This window comes from Homo sapiens, chromosome X (genome assembly GCF_000001405.40).
Source record: "Homo sapiens chromosome X, GRCh38.p14 Primary Assembly".
NCBI lineage: Eukaryota > Metazoa > Chordata > Mammalia > Primates > Hominidae > Homo > Homo sapiens.
In genome coordinates, this window is record NC_000023.11 from 101476607 (window position 1) to 101497837 (window position 21231).

Genomic DNA, 21231 nt, shown 5'->3' on the forward strand with positions numbered 1-21231 from the left:
ACTCTGGGTTAAAGAAGAAATAAAAATCATGACTTCAAATTATGTAGATGAGAATGGAAATAAACCCACCAGATGTAAAACCTGGGATGAGGTTAGAGTTATTAAAGAGGGTCATTTATACACTCACTTACATATTCAAAAATAAGGAAGACTTAAGATAAATGAACTAGACATTTAACTCAAGAATGTAGAAAAAGAACAGTAAATTGAATCTTAAGGAAATAGAAGGAAGGAAAAATAAAGATAAGAAAAAAAGAAAGCAAGAAGAAAAAAATCACAATACAATTGATTGATACAAGTTATTTGAGAAAATTTTTTTGGCAATTCTGATCAAAGAAAAAAGAAGAGACAATAAACAACATTGGGAATTATAATTAAAGATATAAAAGGCAATAGGAAAAATATAAGAAAATACAAGTCAGAATTTTATAACACTCAAATTGAAATTTCAGACAAAATGGATCATATATTAATAAAATACAACTAATCAAAACTGGCTCAAGAAGTAGAAAACTTGAATAGAACAATAAAGAGATAAAAATTTTACTTCAGGCCGGGCATGGTGGCTCACGCCTGTAACCCCAGCACTTTGGGAGGCCGAGGTGGGTGGATCACTTGAAGTCAAGAGTTTGAGGCCAGCCTGGCCAACATGGTGAAACCTCATCTCTACTAAAAATACAAAAATTAGCCCGACATGGTGGCACGCACCTGTAGTCCCAGCTACTCAGGTAGCCGAGGCATGAAAATCACGTGAACGGAGGTTGCAGTGAGCCAAAATCGTGCCACTGTACTCCAGCCTGGGTGACAGAGCGAGACTCTGTCTCAAAAAAAAAAAAAAAAAAAAAAAAAAAAAAAAAAATCTTACTGCTTAAAAACAAACAACAAAAGGAAAGAAAGACAATTACTGTGCTCAGACTATTATTTTTAGAAAAGTTCTTCCCCAAGCCTTTAAGGAATGGAAAAATTCTCTTGTTATATAAACTAATTCCAGAACACAGAAAACTTCCTAACGCATTTCATAAGGCTAGTATAATTATATTATGCATTTCATAAGGCTAGTATAATTATAATACCAAAAACTGAAAAAGGATGGTACACAGAAAAAGAAAACTATAAACGGATCTCATCTACAAAAATGTAAAACCAGATATTAGCAAATTGAAATCCAGCAGTTTATTAAAAAAAATTGTCACTACCGTGTGAGGTTTATTGCAAGAATTCAAAGGTGGTCCAATATTTAAACATTTTTATTGTAATCTACTATATTAAAATCATTAAAATATGATAATCTCAATAGGAACCATAAAATTTTTTGTTCAAATTAAACATCCATTCCTGATAACAACTCCTGGCATTCTAGGAATAGAAGTTTCCTTAACTTGGCAAAGGATTTGTGTAGGAGATGCATAGAAATATTGTACTTAATGATGAAACGTGAAAAGCATTCCTGTTATATTCAGGAGCTAGACTCTGACTATAAGGATGTCTGTTATCACCTTTACTATTCAACATTACTCTGGACTTCTTGTTACATATAATAAGATGAAAAGATAACATGAATAGTATAAAGTATCAGAAAGGAAAAATATTAAACTGTCATTTACAGACAATATAAATGTCTTTTGAGAAAATCAGAGAAAATCAACTGACAAACTTTTATAACTAATAATACAAATTCATTAGGGTGGCCTGATACAAGGTCAACATTCAGAAATTGTAGCTTTGCTTTGCACCAGCAATACACAAATGGAAAATGGATAAGAAGCTTCTATGTTAGAATAGAGGGAAGATACCATTTCACCAGATCTCTCCTAATATTCAACAAAATGCAGAAAAAACAAAACAGCAGAAGAATGGAGATGATCATCAGCAACCAAAGAAAGGGGCACATTCCAATGACGTAAACTTCAAAATATCTCAGCCAAGTAAAGAAACAGGAGATTCCAGAACTGGGCATTGTGGTGCAGGGTAACCAGGCTCTTCCATTCCTCAGAAGCCATATAAGATACAGGAAGCACAAGACAAAGAATCTAAACAAGAAAAAAGCGTACCACAAAGAACAGAAGGAAATTTCCAAGTACTTTAAGCTATAGAACAACTTAATAAGAATATGAACTTAATAAAACAAGAATGCAAAGATGAGATGTGAAAACAGCAGAATTAGGTAAAAAGGAAGATTGCAAACTAAAGAACCCATTAGGACAAAACAACATTATAGAATAAATTATAAATAGAGTGAAATAGAAACATGTGGCTAAAAATTGAATTATGGACAGAGGAAGGGCTTCAGATAATTACATTGACGGGAAATGAAAAAGAAGAAATTAAATGAAATAACTATATGTACATATATATGTATATACATACACACACACATATATATATTCTTAAGAAAGAATAAAATGTTTAGATCTAAATAGCATAACATGTCCTGGGAAGTTTGATTGTCATTTGAAAGTTCGTTATTTCACAGTGCTAGAATCTGAGATGATATTTTATCTTATTCTGTGTACTTTATTGCATTGCATTGCTTCTTTATAATGAGCATGCATCATTTTTATAAAAATAGTGAAATCATTTTTCTAAAAAATGTAGAGAGAATATAATGTACAAAAAGCCACATTCACAATATTAACAAAAACTATGAAATATTGGGGAATACAGCTAATAAGAAATGTATAAAATCTATAAAGAAAACCACACACACACACACACACACACACACACACACACACACACACACACACACGAAAAATGACAATTTTCCTGAAGAGCACAAAAGAGGATGTGAATAAATTTTAAAAATACTACATGACCCTGGGTGAAAATACTTTATTACTAAGATTTTAATTATTCCTTAAGTTGATCTATAAATTCCTTTTTTTTTTTTTTGAGACAGAGTCTTACTCTGTTGCCCAGGCTGGAGTGCAGTGGCACAGTCTGGGCTCACTGCAACTTCCACCTCCAGGGTTCAAGCGATTTTCATGCCTCAGCCTCCCGAGTAGCTTGGACTACAGGTGTGCGCCACCACCCCTGGCTAATTTTTGTATTTTTAGTAAAGACGAGGTTTCACGATGTTGGTCAGGCTGGTCTTGAACTCCTGACCTCAAGTGATCCACCTGCCGTGACCTCCTAAAGTGCTGGGATTACAGGCATGACCCACCACACCCAGCTTAATCTATAAATTGGATGCAATCCTAATGAAAAGTCCAACAAGATTTTTTAAAAATGAAACTTGGAACTTCACTTGAAATGCCCAAGGATATCCAAAAATAGTTGGAAAAAGCAGGGCAATGAAGGATTTGTCTTCCCCGACACCAAAACTTGCTACAAAACGACACCATGTAAAAGTGTGATATTGAGGCAGTTTATAACTATATATATTATCAGTGAAACAGAAAAGTCAATCGATGAAACAGATCTGAGTATAAATGAGAATTTAACATATGGTTAAGTTAGCTCTTTAAATTTATTGGGGAATAATGGACTATTATATGAATGGTGCTAGGATTTGGAGACACACACACACACACACACACACACACACACACACACACACACACACACACATATATATGCAATGACCCAGAAGCCATACAAGAAAAGGTTAATGTTTTGACCACATCATAATGTAAAAATTCTGGAGTTAGGTGCCATGGCTCCAGAATCCAAAGTGCTGGGATTATAGCCCTGGCTCATGCCTGTAATCCCAGCACTTTGGGAGGTCTGGGTGGGAGGATCTTTTGAGACCAGGAGTTTGAGACCAGCCTGGGGAATATAGTGAGACCCTGTCTCTACAAAACATAAAAATTAGCTGGGCGTGGTGCCATGCATTTGTAGTCCTAGCTACTCAGGAGACTGAGGCAGGAAGATCGCTTAAGCCCAGGGGTTCAAGGCAGCAGTGAGCTATGATCACGCCACTGCAGTCCAGCCTGGGCGACACAGCGAAACCCTGTCTAAAAAAGTAAAAATTCTGAATATCAAAAATACCATAAAATTAAGATGTTAGTGATAGATTGAGAAAATATATGTACAACCTATATAACAGAAAAATAACTAATATACAGAAATGTGTAAAGAACTACAAACCATTTAAAAAATACAGCTGAATAGGAAAATACTCAAAGGATATTAACTAATACTCAGAGAAGAAATGCAAATGGATGTTAAGCATGTGAAATTATGCTCAAGATAATAGATATTTAGGAAAATGTGAATTAAAAGGACAATCTTGCCAGGTGCAGTAGCTCACACCTGTGTGATCCCAGCATTTTGGGAGGCCGAGGTGGGTGGATTGCTTGAGCTCAGGAGTTCGAAACCAACCTGGGCAACATGGCAAAAACCCGTCTATACCAAAAGTACAAAAATTAGCTGGGCGTGGTGGCATGCGCCTGTAGTCCCAGCTACTGGGGAAGCTGAGATGGGAGGATCACCTGAGCTCAGGAAGGTCGAGGCTGCAGTGAGCTGTGATTACATCACTGCACTCCAGCCTGGGCAACAGAGTGAGAACCTATCTCAAAACAAAACAAAAAAAAGGACAATCTTTTGTTGACTCTTATATTGGCAATAATTACTAATACAGACGGTCCCCAATTTATGACAATTCAACCTATGATTTTTTTACTTTAATTGGTGGTGCAAAAGCAATACACATTCAGTAAAATCTGTACTTCAAGTACTCATACAACCATCCTGTTTTTCTTTCAATGTAGTATTCAATAAATTATGTGAGATATTCAACACTTTATTATAAAATAGGCTTTGCATTAGATGATTTTGCCGAACTGTCAGCTAATGTGAGTGTTCCGAGCATTTTTAAGGTAGGCTAGGCTATGATGTTTGGTAGGTTGGATGTATTAAATGCATTTTAGATTTATGGTATTTTCAACCTATAAGTTTATTTGAACATGACCCCATTATAAGTTGAGAAACATTTGTACACAGTGTGCATGAGAGTGTGGGGAAATAGATCCTGTCTTATGTTTGATGGGGGTATAAATTGGCCAAGCCTTTTTGGAGGACAGTTTGGTGGTATATCCATTAACTATATAAAATCTCACATCCTTCTTTTGGCAATATCAAATGTATAAAATCTCATACATTTAAGCAAATAATTATATTTATAGTAGAATATCCTAAAGAAATTCTTCTACCTGTTGGCAAAGCTTTATGTGCCAGACTGTTCATTGTAACCTTGCTTTATTAGCTCCGGATCCAGAACTCATAATATGCAGCAGTTAAAAAGAATGAAGCAGCTTTAAATGTACTGGTATGTAGAGCTCTTTGAGACATAATTTTAAATGAAAAAAAAGCAAGTTGCAAAACAGTATGTTAATTATGATCCTGGCCAGGCGTGGTGGCTCACACCTGTAATCCCAGCACTTTGAGAGGCCCAGGTGGTTGGATCACTTGAGGCCAGGAGTTTGAGACCAGCCTAGCCAACATGGTGAAACCCAGTCTCTACTAAAAATACAAACATTAGCTGGGCATGGTGGTGCGCACCTGTAATCCCAGCTACTAGGGAGGCTGAGGCATGAGAATCGCTTGAACCCGAGAGGTGGAGGTTGCGGTGAGCCAAGATCGCACCACTGCACTCCAGCCTGAGTGAAAGAGCAAGACTCCATATAAAAAAAAATCTCATTTATATATTTTAATAAGACATGTATGTGTATATCATGTATACAAAAGGTTAATACACCAAACTTAAAATGGAGAGGTAACTGTGATTTGGGTGAGGATAGGGGAGTGAAAGTGGTACTAGTGCTTTTTCTGGGTTTGACTATTCTTTTCTTTTCTTTTCTTTTCAGAGACAGGGTTTCACGCCATTGCCGGTCTGGAGAGCAGTGGTGCAATCATAGTTCACTGTAACCTTGAATTCCTAAGCTCAAACAATCTTCTTGCCAAGTAGCCTCCCAAGTAGCTAGGACCACAGGCATGCACCACTAAGCCCAGCTATTTTTTTTTTTTAATAGACAGGTTTCCCTATGTCGGGAAACCTATGTAGGGTGGTCTCAAACTCTTGGCCTCAAGTAATGCTCTTGCCTCAGACTCCCAAAGTATTGGGATTATAGGCGTGAGCCATCACACTTGGCCTTGGGTTTGAATTTTATACTAGAATTGTACTCTTGTGGGATTTGTATGTAAAGTAAACAGCAAATATTAAAACACCCCAATTATCTTTCCACTGGGATACACAGAGCTAACTCCATCAGCCACATTGTATAAATATAACATGAGTTATTTAATCTCTCCCCTATCAATAGCCATTTTATGTTGCGTCAGGCTTTTTTTTTTTTTTTTTTTTTTTTTGACAGAGTCTCACTCTGTCAGCCAGACTGGAGTGCAGTGGCGTGATCTAGGCTCACTGCAACCTCCATCCCTTGGGTTCAAGCCATTCTCCTGACTCAGCCTTGCAAGTAGCTGGGGTTATAAGCGCCTGCCACTGCGCCCGGCTAATTTTTGTATTTTTAATAGAAACGGGGTTTCACCACGTTGGCCAGGCTGGTCTTGAACTCCTGACCTCGTGATCCACCTGCTTCGGCCTCCCAAAGTGCTGGGATTACAGGTGTGAGCCACCGTGCCCGGCTGCGTCAGTTTTTTCAAACCTTACAAGCATTGCGAAAAAAAAAAATTCTAGTAAATATATCTTTGTGAAACTGTGTAGGCATATAGGTTGGCTAAATTCCAAGGAATAGAATTATTGGGTCAAAGAATTTGTGAAATATTATAGTTATCATTTAATAGAGTTTGCCAAATTGCCCTATATAAAAAGCTTGCATCAATATCTGCCTCCAACAGAGTAGAGGAGTGCCCATTTCTTGACAAACCAGTCAACAATATTATCAAGTTTCTAAACTTTGAGAAAATCATACTTGAAACATGGTAAGGCATAGTTGCTTTGATTTGCATTTCTTTGTTTGAGCATCTTTTCATATGTTTATTAGTAATCTATTTCTTTTCTGTGAACAAATCTGTTCATGTCTTTTGGCACATTTTTCTATTGGGTTGTTTATCATTTTACTAATGATCTGTAAGAGCTTTTAGATTATTACAAGTTAGCCTTTTGACAGTCAATGTTTATGGTTTTTTTTTTTTACTTTACCAAAGTTTAAAATTTGTATGCAATTAATTTATCAATATTTTCCTTTGGTGGAGAAAGTAAGTTCGTCACTTTCAATTGAGTTCTGAAAAGCCATTAGTAAGATTGTAAGGCACTAGGACTTCCTTTCTTGGCTCCTGAAAGGGCCTCCTCCACACAGGGGCCCCTCACAGTGGAGCCCCTCCCTCTGGGGTGTCCTATTTCAATGTTCTAAGAAAGAGGCTGCCTGGAGGGTCTATATTTGGAGTATGACTCCTCAGCGGGGACAGGTGGATGCGTGGGGACTAACTTCTGCATATTTGGTCCCTGAGTTTTGGGATTATTCTGAGGGGCTTGTATGGGAGGTGCAGTGAAGTTGTAACACAAGGCAGGACATGAAAAAACTTCTTTTTCTTGGCAATTGCTTGGGATCCTGTACATTGCCCTTCCACTTGTGAGGGAAAAAAATAATGACACGGACATCAGGTGTGTTGCAGTGATTCACAGTCATCCACAGACCCTCACCACCATCTCCACTGGAAAATATTGAACACTCGCCACTGCTAGGGTAGTATGTAGTACATGAATGGCAGACACCGGCGAGATCTCAAGTGTTACGACGGATGAAAATTCCACCTGTTAAGTCTCCTTTCCATCCAAGCTCTAGCAGTTGGTTGTTCCATGGGTGTGGTGAGGCTGATCTGATTACATGCTTATGTAAAATCCAAATAAAGCCCCTTGAATGGAAAACAGGTTAATTTGGGAAGTCACTAGTAAAGCAGGTTAATTTGGTAAGTCACTAGTAAAGCACTAGGCTCATCAGGAGTTGGGTCTTAAATATATCCTCTAGAAGTCTTCTCTGAAGAAGGTCTTAGACACCTGAAAAAAGATGCTGAGTTCAGCCAGAACTTCAAAAGTTACAAATCACCTGTGTAAAATTGTCAATATTAGAAAACGAAATGTCTTTCCAAAGATTAACTTATAGATCATATTGAATACGTGCTGGTTTTGTTTAGGACAATTTTGTATTTAAAATGTCAAGAATTACTAGTCAATTTTGAAAGCTGTAAAATAGTTTGCAGTAACAGAAGACATTTTAAAATGTGGCACAAAATAATGTAAACAAAAGAATGAGTCTTTTGTTATTTTTACACCCTGAATATTTTTTGTGTCAAATGAAAATGGCTATACTGTATTTTCTGATTACAATATTAGAAAAGAATGTCATATTAAAAGAAAAAAAAGGAACACGAAAAAGAAAATTAAAGCTCTACTTGCACCTTCTGCTTTCCTTCCTGATACCCCCTTCCACAGCCCATTTGGTGCAGGCATTGTACTTAGAGAGGGCAGGTCGTGTAGGGGGCGGGTGGGGAGTGCTGGTCTTATAGTCTAAGAGAGAAATAAGTGATTACTCAAAGAAGAAACATAAAAGGCCACAGCCAAGGGCCGGGAGTGGGTAGGGGGATGCAGACCCTCCCCTGTAACTGAAGATGGGTAAACTCCAACCACAAGGCGATGATGCCACTTGTGGGCCCTCAGATTGGAGAGGACGGAGATGAGTGACAACGCGTGCGCACTGGGGCACCGAGCACAGACCAGAGAACGGGGATGTCTGTGCGTGCGGAGTGGAGGAGGGGGGAGTTCCTGGTGACTGGCCGCCGGCCCTTGGTGGGTGGTAGGGGGTGCTGGGGAGGAGGGCGAGCTCGGCGGTGACGCGCGGTCCTCACGTGACCCGGAGCTGCAGAGCTACGCAGCCTTCGTTGCAGTCGTCACTCGCATCTGGCTACCAGCTCCCCGCTGCCCTGCGCTCGGCGGGCTGGCATCGGGCCCGGGGAAAGCGGAGCAGGTAAGGGCCCTGGGGCCCGCGCGCCCTGGCCAGGCCGGCAGAAGCTCACTGACCCCGGCAGCGGTTACGGGGCTTGAGGGGGCGGTGGTCTATGCTGCCTCAAGTTCGAGGAGCCTTTGCCTCTGATTCTCCCTAGCCCCCTTGCCCCCGCCTACATCTGTGCAGGCGAACCGTGGGCTTTGATTTGTGGGGAGATTGTCTCTGCCAGAGGGAAATACAGAGATTGAGATGCCCATCGCTCTAATCACTGGCCACACATGTCCGCTCGCTTCCTGCTCAATTTAGTGGAAGGGATGCGCCACGGTGGCGTTTGCAGAGAAAATGGTGGGCCTTAGAGACTGGACGGTGGGGTTGGTAAGGGTGGTGTCTCAGACTGTGGGGAGGGACGTTTGATAACCAGGTTCCTGAACCCGGAAAGGCGAGTATTGGGATCTATGTCCTGGGCTCTAGACCAACACTAAGTGGTTTTACTCTCTCCTGTCTGTCGGACAGTAGTTCGGTGTAGCACTGTTTGCGGCGAGGAGAAAGGAAGGAGAGGAGAAAACTGCACTGGATCAAGGAGGTTAGTGTGAGTACAGACACTATCTAAACCATTGGAGTTCCATATGAATTCTATGACAGGAACTTAGGTGCGGCTGTCTGAATGGGATGTGGGGTGGGGCTAGCTTGGGGACTTTCCCTAAACTGCATTTTACTTACCAAGCTTAGGACTTTTAAATTGTATGTTGAAGACCAATGAAGACAGCAAACTTTTCTACAGATGCTTTTATTTGCATTTCAGATAATATTGAGAAAAAGATAAATTATATTAAAGAATATTATTATTATTATTATTTTTTAGATAGCCTTTGGTGGGGAAGGATAGTGATTTTGTAGAAGCAAAAGGCTTCCCCTATAGCTTTTCTCTTCTGCTGGAGACTCCTAGAGATAGGTTGAAAGGGACGTGGACAGCAGTAGGTTGTGGTTCTAGAGTATGGGATCTGGGGTCTCCCATCTCTCCTGCCATCCTTCAGTTTTCCAGATCCCTCTACCTACCTGACCATCTTGGTGAAGGAAATGGTGGGCTTTTGGGGAAATCCCTAGAACCCTACAGGTGGTTTTAAAATAATTTGCCTTGTTGGGCCTAGTAGCTCTTGCCTGTAATCCCAGCACTTTGAGAGACCCAAGCAAGAGGATTGCTTGAGCTCAGGTGTTCAAGACCAGCCTGGGCAACATAGCGAGACTTCATCTCTACATATAATTTAAAAATTAGCTGGGTATGGTGGCACAGTCTGTAGTTCCTGCTACTTGGGAGGCTGAGGTGGGAGGATCTTTTGAGCCTGGGAGGTCGAGACTGTGGTGAGCCATGATCTTGCCACTGCAATCCAGCCTGGGTGACAGAGTGGGGCTCTGTCTCAAAATAAATAAAAAATAAAATAAATAAAATAAAATAAAATAAAATAAAATAACGTGCCTCTGTCTGTTGCCTTTTACTTTTCCTGCCTCCCTTTTCCATCCTTCCCATTTCAGTGCTGGGGAAGCCCCAGGCTTTTTTTTTTTTTTTTTTCTGCCAGCAAATGGGTCTCTAAATCCAGGCAGGCAGGTACAGGGACCTATGTCTTAGATGGTAAGTGTCACAAGTACTTAACATCCACTCTCTTCTTTTTCTCCATCTGTTCCAAGGTCTTCCCATAGGCCTGCAGTAGGGCTGTTTACCATTGGAAGCAAGGGAAAGAGGAGGAGATCAATCTAGAAGCATGGAGGTTGGTGTGAAGTGGGGGTAGTCTCTGGGGATGACAAGAGAGGGTGGGCATAGGAGGTGGGTGAGATTTAAGAGGGTCTCAGTGGAGTGCTGGATTGCCACAGTGCTGCCATGCCTCCTGTGGATTTCAGTGCAGGAAATGATAGGAATATGGGGGTAAGGGTGGGCTGGAGTATGACTGGGGGAAGACTTGATGGGGGGACCATGAGATGGTACACATTAGTATATAGAACCTGGGCTCTGGCGAGGCAGACATTGGGGTCAGGGATCAGGTTGCTTGTCTGTTCTACCAGGGACTCGGTTTCCATTACCTACTGTTTGTTTACTTGTCCATAGATCTGCCTGCATGTCTGCTGCAGGGCTTAAGATCACTGGAAGCAAAGAAACAAAGAGGAGATTGCTCCTGATCAGTATAGACTGGTAAGAGTGTGGGGACTGCCTGGGTAGACCTCTAGAGTGGGTTGGTGGAGACCAGTGTGCATCCAGTAAGGACCAGTGACCAGTCTGGAGGATGAGGATCCTCAGTCTCTCCTTTTCCAGCCACCTTTCCCACCATCCCTGTCATTTACTCCATACCCTCACCTTAATTCTGGTACAGGGAAAAGAGTGTGACAGTGTCTTAGGGAGTGGGGTGGACTGAGAAACGTAGAAAGGTAGTTTGCTAATAATATGTCTGTCCCATCAAGAACAAACTCTCTACTCCCATCTGTCCCTCCATCTGTCTGTCTGTCTCTAGGTCCAGAGATCTCATGAATTTATGTATCTACTTTAGGGTGTACTGCCAAGAGAAGCAAGAGGAGAGGAGGGAACTGCCTCGGATCATTACAGGTTGGTATGAGGGTGGGGCCCTGTAGACAGGTGACCAGAGTAGGTCCAGTAGAAATCAAAGTCTGGGACTTCTTGGTTGCTCCCATTTATCGTCAGACCTCCTACCATCCTTTCCACTGTTCATTTGGTGTATAGAAATGTGTATAGAAGTATCTTGGAAGAAAATTATTGGGCATTGGGGAAGGTGGAGAGAAGATGAAATAAGAGGAATGGAGAGGCTGCTAATCATCCTCTCTTCCACCAAGCACATGGTTCTACCATTTTCTGTTCCTCTGTGTATCTATCTGTATGATGCAACAAAATCAGAAGAGAAATTTTAGTCCATTTCCTTCCTCCACTTCTAGGTCCACCTCCAGAGGCAGCTGTAGTGGCCTTTGAGTGGCTGAAGACCAGCACCCTCACAGGCCTACACCCACAACTACCACTCTCTTTACCCCAGCCCGAGTGCGCTCTACCATACCTTGTTCGTGCTTTTAGCAGGGGTGATTACATGGGCCGCATTCAGGAAGTGGGCTGGGTGACTGCAGGACTGGTGATCTGGGCTGGCACCTGCTACTACATTTACAAATTTACCAAGGGAAGAGCCCAGAGTGTGAGGACTCTTGCCAGAAATGGATCCACAGTTAAGATGGAGACTGTGGTTGGGGTACAGAGCCAGACCTTGGCCATAAATGAAGCAGAGATTAAGACTAAACCCCAAGTCGAGATTGGAGCAGAAACTGGAGCAAGAAGTGGGCCTAGGGCTGAAGTAGAGACCAAGGCCACTGCTATAGCCATACACAGAGCCAACTCTCAGGCCAAGGCAATGGTTGGGGCAGAGCCAGAGACTCAATCTGAGTCCAAAGTGGTGGCTGGAACACTGGTCATGACAGAGGCAGTGACTCTGACTGAGGTCAAGGCCAAAGCCAGGGAAGTGGCCATGAAAGAAGCAGTGACCCAAACTGATGCTGAGGCTGGCAAAATAGTTAAGAAAGAAGCAGTGACACAGACCAAGGCTAAAGCTTGGGCGCTGGTTGCCAAGACAGAGGCCAAGAGAGAAGCAATGACCCAGACCAAAGCTGAAACTCATATATTGGCTGAAAAAGAGACAGAGATTAACAGAGTAATGGTTACACAGAGTGAGACCTTGGCAGTACCCAGGGAAGTGGCCAAGATGGGGGCCACGAACAAGACTGGAATTGTGGATGAAACCAAGACAAGAGCTCTGGAAGAGACTGTGAGTGTGGCTAAGACTCAGTCTGAGGCCAGGCCTGGTGCCACAGTTGATGCTAGGGGAAATCCCAATGGCATGTCCAGGGAGGTGGCTGGAGTGGACATGAAGTCCTGTGCACAGTCTCAGGCTGTGACCAAGATCCAGGGTGATGACATGCCTGGTACTGGGGTTGAGGACATGGGGAATTGTAAAACCATGTCTAGGGCAGAGTCTGGGGCAGACACGAGGGCTTCTGCTCAGCCTCAAATTTTTGCCAAAACCCAGACTGAGGCCATTCCTGGGGCAAAGATTGATGCCGGGGGTAACACCAATGCCATGTGTAAGGTGGGGGCAGGGGCAGATGTGAGAGCTTGTATACAACCTCAGACTGTGGCCAAGAAACAGGCTGAGGTGACGTCTGGTGCCAGGGTTGATGGTAGGGGAAATACCAATGTCATATCTAAGGCAATAACTGGAGCTGACATGAGAGCTGCTGCTCAGCCTCAAGCTGTTGCCAGTACTCACGCTGAGGCCATGTCTGATGCTAAGGTTAAGAACAGAGGCAATCCCAATGCCATGACTAAAGCAGGGGCCAAGGCAAACTTGAGGGCCAATTCCCAGGTTGAGGCCTTGCCTGATGCCAGGGATAAGAGCAGAGGCAATCCCAATGTTATGGCTAAGGTGGGGGATGGGACAGACATGTTGTCCTGTACACAGCCTCAGCTTGTGGCCAGTGTTCAGGCTGATACCTTGTCTGATGGCAAAATTAAGGTCAGGGGCAATGTCAATACCATGCCTAAGGAAGGAGCTGGGGTGGATATGAAGGCTCAAGGTATGGCCCAGAGCCAGGGTGAAGCCTTACCTAATACTAGAGGTAAGGCTAGGGGCAAAGCCAAAGCCAAGTGTAAGACAGGGCCTGGGATGGACATGAAAACCTGTACACAACCTCAGGCTGGGGTCAAGACCCCAGCTGAGGCCTTGCTTGATTCCAGGGTTGATGGTAGGGGCAATCCTAATGCCACTTCTAAAGCCGGGACTAAGGCAGACCAGAGGGTCTGTGGTCAGCCCCTGGTTGTGGCCAATCCCCAGGGTGAGGCCTTGCCTGGTGCCAAGAATAAAGTCAAGGGCAATCCCCATACTGTGCTTAAGGTGGGGGCTGGAGAAGGTACAACAGACTCTGCCCAGCCTGAGGCAGTGGTCAGTTTCCAGGGTGAGGCCTTGCTTGGCACCAAGAATAAAGTTAAGGGTAATCCCAATGTTGTGCTTAAGGCAGAAGTTGGGGAAGGTGCAATGGGCACTGCCCAGCTTCAGATTATGGCCAGTTCCAAGGGTGAGGCCTTGCTTGATTCTAAGAATAAGGTCAAGGGTAATTCCAATGCTGTGTCTAAGGCAGGGGCTGGGACAGATACAACAGGCTCTGTCCAGCCCCAGATTGTGGCCAATTCCCAGGGTGAGGTCTTGCCTGGTGCCAAGAATAAGATCAGAGGCAATCCCACTACTGTGCCTAATTCAGGGGTTGGGCCATATACAACAGACTCTGCCCGGCTCCAGGCTGTGGCCAATTCTCAGGGTGAGGTCTTGCCTGGTGCCAAAAATAAGGTCAAGGCCAATCTTAATGCTGTGTCTAAGGCAGAAGCTGGGATGGGTGCAACAGGCTCTGTCCAGCCCCAGGCTGTGGCTAATTCCCATTGTGAGACCTTGCCTGGTGCCAAGAATAAGGTCAGGGGAAATTGGAATGCTGTGTCTAAGGCAGGGGCTGGGATGGATACAAGGGGCTCTGCCCAGCCCCAGGCTGTGGCCAATTCCCAGGGTGAAGTCTTGCCTGGTGCCAAGAATAAGGTCAAGGGCAATCCCAATGTCGTGTCTAAGGCAGGGGCCAGAGAAGATACAGTGGGCTCTACCCAGCCTCAGGTTTTGGCCAGCTCCCAGCGTGAGACCTTGCCTGGTGCCAGGAATAAGGTCAAGGGCAATTCCAATGTTGTGTCTAAGGCAGGGGCCAGAGAAGATACAATGGGCTCTGCCCAGCCTCAGGTTGTGGCCAACTCCCAGCGTGAGACCTTGCCTGGTGCCAGGAATAAGGTCAAGGGCAATTCCAATGCTATTTCTAAGGCAGAGGCTGGGGCAGGCATAATGGGCTCTGTCCAGGTCCAGGTTGTGGCCAGTTTTCAGGGTGAGGTCTTGCCTGGGGCCAAAAATAAGGTCAGGGGCAATTCCAATGCTGTGCCTAAGGCAGAGGCTGGGGCAGATACAGTGGGCTCTGCCCAGCCCCAAGCTGTCGCTAATTCCCAGAGTGAGACCTTGCTTGGTGCCAGGAATAAGGTCAAGGGCAATACCATTGCTGTGCCTAAAGCAGGGACTGGGGCAGGCACAAGGCACTCTGCCCAGCCTCAGATTGTGGCCGGTTCCCAGGGTGAGACCTTGCCTGGGGCAAGGGACAAGTCTATGTCCACTTCTGAGGCAGAAGCCACAGCAGAAGATGAGGCCTATGCAAAGCCTGAGGCTGAGGCCATGCCCACTTCTGAGAGTGAGGGTGGGTCAGGCACTCAAGCCTGCAGAAAGACTCAGCCTAACATCCATGACTACTACTGGAATGGGATTGGTGTTGAAGACTGGATTGCTGCTGAGCGGTGGATCAAATTTAGGTTTCAGACCATGGATGGAGACTGGGAAAATAGCGTGTCCTGGGCTGATGATGAGAATGAAGCCAGTATTGGGTCCTGGAGTGGGGCTAGTGATAAGGCTGGGATTATTCGGTCTTGGGCTGTGGCTTGTGATGAGACCAGTGTTAAGTCCTGGGCTGGGGCCAGGGCTGAGAATGTGGTTGGTATTGGGACTTGGGCTAGAGCTGGGGAGCAGGCCAGTGGAGGGCTCTGGGCTGGGGGTCAGACTAGTGAGGGGACCTGGGCTGGGGACAAGGCCAGTGGAGGAGCCTGGACTGGGGCTGAGAACCAGGCCAGTGGGGGGTCTTGGGCTCTCGCTGGGAATCAGGCCATTGGAGAGCTTTGGGCTGCGGGTCAGGCCAGTGATGGGTCCTGGCCTGGGGGACAGGCCAGTGGGGTGTCCTGGGTTGGGGAAGAGGCCATTGGAGGGTCCTGGACTGGGGCTGAGAACCAAGCCAGTGAAGGGTCTTGGGCTGGAGCTGGGGCTGGGAATATGAGTAGTGTTTCATACTGGGCTGGGGTTGTGGATCAGGCCGGTGGAGGGTCCTGGGCTGGGACTAGTGATCAATCTGGTGGTGGGTCCAAGCCTAGATTTGAGGATCAAGCCAGTGGAGAAGGGTCCTGGGCTGGGGCTGGTGGCCAGGCTAGTGGAGGGTCAATGTTGGGGCCTGAGGACCAGTCCAGTGGAAGGTCTTGGGCTGACACTGCAGACCAAGCCAGTGGAGGGTCTAGGCTGGGCCACGTAGATCAGTCCAGTGGTGGGGCCTGGGCTGGGACACTTGATCAGTCTGGTGGTGGGTCCAAGCCTAGATTTGAAAATCAGACCACAGAAGAAGGGTCTTGGGCTGGGGCTGGTGGCCAGGCTGGTGGAGGGTCCAAGGTGGGGCCTGAAGACCAGTCCAGTGGAAGGTCATGGGCTAACTCTGGGGACCAAATCAGTGGAGGATTCTTAGTTGGGATTGTGGACCAGGCCAATGGAGGGTCCTGGACTGGGGCTGGGCATCCAGCTAGTGTTGGGCCAAAGCCTATATTTGAGGATCAGGTCAGTGGCAGAGGGTCCTGGGCTGATGCCAGGGAGCAGGTTGTTGGAGATTCTAGGCTGGGGCTTAGGGACCAGTCTAGTGGAGATTCCTGGGCTGGCACTGGGGACCAGGCCAGTGGATGGTTCTGTGTTTGCCCTGGGAGTCAGACGAATGGAGGGTCTTGGGGTGGGGCTAGTGGCCAGGATGTTGGAGGGTCTAGGCCAGGGCCCACGAACCAGTCCAGTGCTGGGTCCTGGGATAGCCCTGGGAGTCAGGTCAGTGGAAGCTGCTGGACTGGGGCTGGGGCTGTGGATCAGGCTGGTGGTTGTTCCAAACCTGGATTTGAGGATCAGGCCATTGGAGGGGGGTTCTGGCCTGGTGCTGGGGACCAGACTGGTGGAGGCTCCAGGCCAGGGTCTGAGGATCAGTCCAGTGGAATAGGTTCCTGGGGTGTGGCTGGTGGCCAGGTCCTTGGGGGAGCTAGGCCGGGGCCTGCAGACCAGTCCAGTGGTGGGTCCTGGGCTGGCACTGGGAATCAGTCCAGTGGAAGGTCCTGGATTGGGCCTGGGGATCAGGCTGTTGACTGTTCCAAGCCTGAATTTGAGGATCAGGCTTGTGGAGGAGGCTCCTGGGCTGGTGCTGGGAGCCAAGCCAGTGGAGAATCCTGGGCTGGATCTAGGCCTGGGAATGAGGCCATTGGAGGATCTAGGATGGGATCTGAGGACCAGGCCACTGGAGGATCCTGGGCTAGATCTGAGGACCAGGCCAGTGGAAGGTTCCAGGTCAGTTTTGAGGTGGAGGCCAATGAAGGATTCTGGTTTGGGCCTGGAGCTGAGGCCGTTATAGGGTCTTGGTGCTGGACAGAGGAAAAAGCTGATATTGTGTCCAGGCCTGATGATAAAGATGAGGCCACTACTGCATCCAGATCAGGGGCTGGGGAAGAGGCCATGATTTGTTCTAGGATTGAGGCTGAGAACAAGGCTAGTAGTGGCTCCTGGATTAGATCTGAGGAGGTGGCTTATATGGGCTCCTGTGTAGGGGCTGAGGCTGGGGCTGGGGCTGAGGCTGGGGCTGGGGCTGAGGCTGGGGCTGGGGCTGGGGCTGAGGCTGGGGCTGAGGCTGGGGCTGGGGCTGGGGCTGGGCCTGGGACTGAGTCTGGGGCTGGGATTTGGTCCTGGGATGGAGATGCAACCACTGTAGAGTCTAGGCTTGGGGCTGGGGAAGAGGCTGGTGTAGAGTCCTGGACCTTGGCTAGGAATGTGGGAGAGGATGAGCTAAGTAGAGAGTCCAGCCCTGATATTGAGGAGATCAGTTTAAGGTCTTTGTTTTGGGCTGAGAGTGAGAACAGTAATACGTTCAGATCTAAGAGTGGGAAAGATGCCAGTTTTGAGTCTGGAGCTGGGGATAACACCAGCATCAAGGATAAGTTTGAGGCTGCTGGTGGAGTTGATATAGGGTCTTGGTTCTGTGCTGGTAATGAAAACACAAGTGAGGACAAATCTGCACCTAAGGCTAAAGCCAAAAAGTCATCTGAGTCAAGAGGCATATATCCGTACATGGTCCCTGGGGCAGGAATGGGGTCATGGGATGGAGCCATGATCTGGTCGGAAACTAAGTTTGCACACCAAAGTGAGGCCAGCTTCCCAGTTGAAGATGAGTCCAGAAAACAAACCAGGACTGGGGAAAAAACTCGGCCCTGGTCTTGCCGCTGTAAACACGAAGCTAATATGGATCCACGAGATCTTGAAAAACTCATTTGCATGATTGAGATGACTGAAGATCCTTCTGTTCATGAAATAGCCAATAATGCTTTATATAACAGTGCTGATTATTCTTATTCTCATGAAGTTGTTCGTAATGTAGGTGGAATTTCAGTTATTGAAAGCTTGCTCAATAATCCCTACCCCAGTGTTAGGCAGAAGGCTTTAAATGCACTGAATAATATCTCAGTGGCTGCTGAAAACCATAGGAAGGTTAAAACTTACTTAAACCAAGTATGTGAAGACACTGTCACCTATCCCTTGAATTCAAATGTGCAGTTGGCTGGACTAAGGTTGATAAGGCATCTGACTATTACCAGTGAATATCAGCATATGGTTACAAATTATATTTCAGAATTTCTTCGTTTGTTAACGGTGGGAAGTGGAGAAACTAAAGACCATGTTTTGGGAATGCTTTTGAATTTCTCTAAAAATCCATCTATGACAAAAGACTTGCTCATTGCCAATGCACCAACATCACTGATTAACATTTTTAGCAAGAAAGAGACAAAGGAGAATATTCTTAATGCTCTTTCACTATTTGAAAATATAAATTACCATTTTAAAAGAAGAGCAAAAGCATTTACCCAGGACAAATTCAGTAAAAATTCCCTTTATTTCCTATTCCAACGACCTAAAGCATGTGCCAAGAAACTTCGAGCCTTAGCAGCAGAATGCAATGACCCTGAGGTGAAAGAGAGAGTTGAGCTATTAATAAGTAAACTCTGATTGGCTGTATGTTCCCAAACAAATTTGAGTAATATTTTGGTTTTGCACTCTGGAAGTAATGCACATTGTAAATTGCATTATAACTTTGAAACTGATGTTACCTATGATGGTCTATAGCTGGACCATTTTATGAACACCAAATGAATTCAAGCTTGTACTAAAAATACATGTGTTGATTTTTATCTTGTCTGGATTGAGATATTTTTAGTATGCTTCATGAGCAGAAACTGAATGGATTCTTCATAAGTAAGGTAATCTTTGGTCCTTTGTGTGGACTTATGTTTATACATTTAAGACTATTTTTATGTCATCAATAAAGTTGTGTGTTTTAAGCAGCAGAAAAAAGTCATTGTCCTTGTCCTTGAGTTTATGATCTGTTTGGAAAGGCAAGATATATGGAAACAAAAAGATAGCAATAAAACTGGGAGCTTCCAATCATGGCCAGATGCCTCCTATCAGTGTTTAGAGGCGGCAGAAACTGCTGCAGGCAACAGTGCTCAAGGAAAGTTTTACAAAGGAGGGGGACCCTTAGGTAAGCTGGGCTTCAAGGATACAAAAGGATCAGAAGGGCACTCAAGATGGAAGGAGTGATGGGAAAAAAGGCATGGAGATGGGAATCCTTCTCCAGAGAGAAATGCTGGCCTGCTTGAAGTGCAAAGTGTAGGGAGGGTAGTGACGAGAGAGAGAGAGAGTCAGGCAGTAGAGGTGAGTCCTGTTCGTGGAGCACCCCTAACTGCTAAACTGGGGTGTCTGAATATTACTACATCCACCCCTGGGAGACATCAAGGCCTTTTGTGACCGGAGGAATGACAAGACGAAAGGAAAATGATATGGTAGATTTATGTGCAGCAGGAGTCCAAGCTGGGGCGGGGATAGGAGTGGTGACTGGAGATTGGAAAAACAGGAAGCTACCACAAGTTACTCCAGGCATGAGATAATAAAGGTTTGAAATTTTACTGGAGGCCATGGGAATGGTAAGGAGAGGATGGACGTGAGAGGCCCTTTGAACCAATAAGTGCTGAGATGTATTCTGGAGACATACAGAGAGGACCAATTTTATTTTAGGGTCCTTGGGGCATTTGACAGAAAAGTGTCCTCTTTGCCAATTCTGGTATCCATGTAAGTAAACAGTTACAACTTTGAAATAATAAGAAAGTATACTAGAAGAAAGAAGTTTTAGTGCTTGTATCAGATTTCCTTTATAAGGTTGGTTAAGGTGGGGCCTTTATGGAACCATAGAGAGTGTTGTTGGGATACACATAGAAGATCTACCTCTCTCCCACCCCATAGTGAGGGTGAGGGTGTCGGGGGAGGAGCACTCTTAAACTGCTGGTGGGAGTATACACTGGTACAAGGTCCATTGGAATATATGCATATCCTTTGACCCTGTAATTCCACTTGTAGAAATGTATCTTTAGGAAATAACACGTAATTGGCTTGTAGGAAGCTGTGCATCTTCAAACTGTTTTGAAGGGTGAAAAGTTGTAAACGACCCAAGTATCTCAAGATAGGCAGTTGGCTAAGCAAATTGATGTATGTCTACACATTTAAATATTATGCCGCTATTGAAAATGTTGATGGACATCTACATGTGCTTACATTAGAAATTCAGCATATAATCTTAAGTGGGAAAAATAGGCTGTAAAAGCACATGCCATACATTTAATGAAGAAAAAGTATATATCTAAATTATCTTGCTACATACTCTGAGAATATTAATAGTTTTCTGTGGGTGTTAGACTGATGGGTGATTTCATTTGTTGTTTTTTCTCTTTCTTTTTTTTTTTGTTTTAAGACGGAGTCTCCCTCTGTCGCCCAGGCTGGAGTACAATGGCACGGTCTGGGCTCACTGCAACCTCTGCCTCCTGGGTTCAAGCGATTCTCCTGCCTCAGCCTCCCGAGTAGCTGGGATTACAGGCGCCTGCCACCACACCTGGCTTTTTTTTTTGTATTTTTAGTAGAGACGGGGTTTCACCATGTTGGCCAGACTGGTCTTGAACTCCTGACCTCAGGTGATCTGCCCGCCTCGGCCTCCCAAAGTGCTGGGATTACAGGCGTGAGCCACCACGCCCGGCCTCATTTGTTTTTACTCATCTCTATTTATGATATTTATATAAGAAGTGGAATTTTATGCATAATTTACCAACAAGGAAGAAGATGGATTCATATTAGGCAGGCCTGGTCAGTAGTATTTGAGGGACCTGGAGCAAAAGTATAAATGGAGGCTCACATATTTATGCCTACATATTTGGAAAGTATAACTTAAAATTTTAAATAAATATTATTTGTAAAGCAATAAGTGTTTTAAAATTTAAATCATATTAGGTATTTAAAAAATAAAACCATTCTCAATACTAGCATTCGATGGCCACCAA

At 44.9% G+C, this 21231-nt stretch overlaps 1 protein-coding gene across 6 annotated transcripts in view; it reads left to right on the forward strand.

The window, feature by feature from the left end:
• Positions 1-21231, forward strand: part of ARMCX4 (armadillo repeat containing X-linked 4) — a 117711-nt gene that overhangs the window by 58329 nt on the left and 38151 nt on the right. Inside the window, exons 1-6 of one of the 6 annotated variants that reach the window (NR_045864.2) lie at positions 8850-8924; positions 9417-9492; positions 10587-10666; positions 11002-11085; positions 11402-11493; positions 11838-12709. Coding sequence is in view for 1 of the 6 variants with exons in the window: in NM_001256155.3 (NP_001243084.2) it covers positions 11984-18856 (6873 nt within the window). In the remaining 5 variants the exon portion in view is untranslated. Of the gene's footprint in view, positions 1-8849; positions 8925-9416; positions 9493-10586; positions 10667-11001; positions 11086-11401; positions 11494-11837; positions 19202-21231 lie in introns of those variants that run through there. The other 5 variants (NR_045861.2, NM_001256155.3, NR_028407.3 and 2 more) reach the window with 5 other exon arrangements.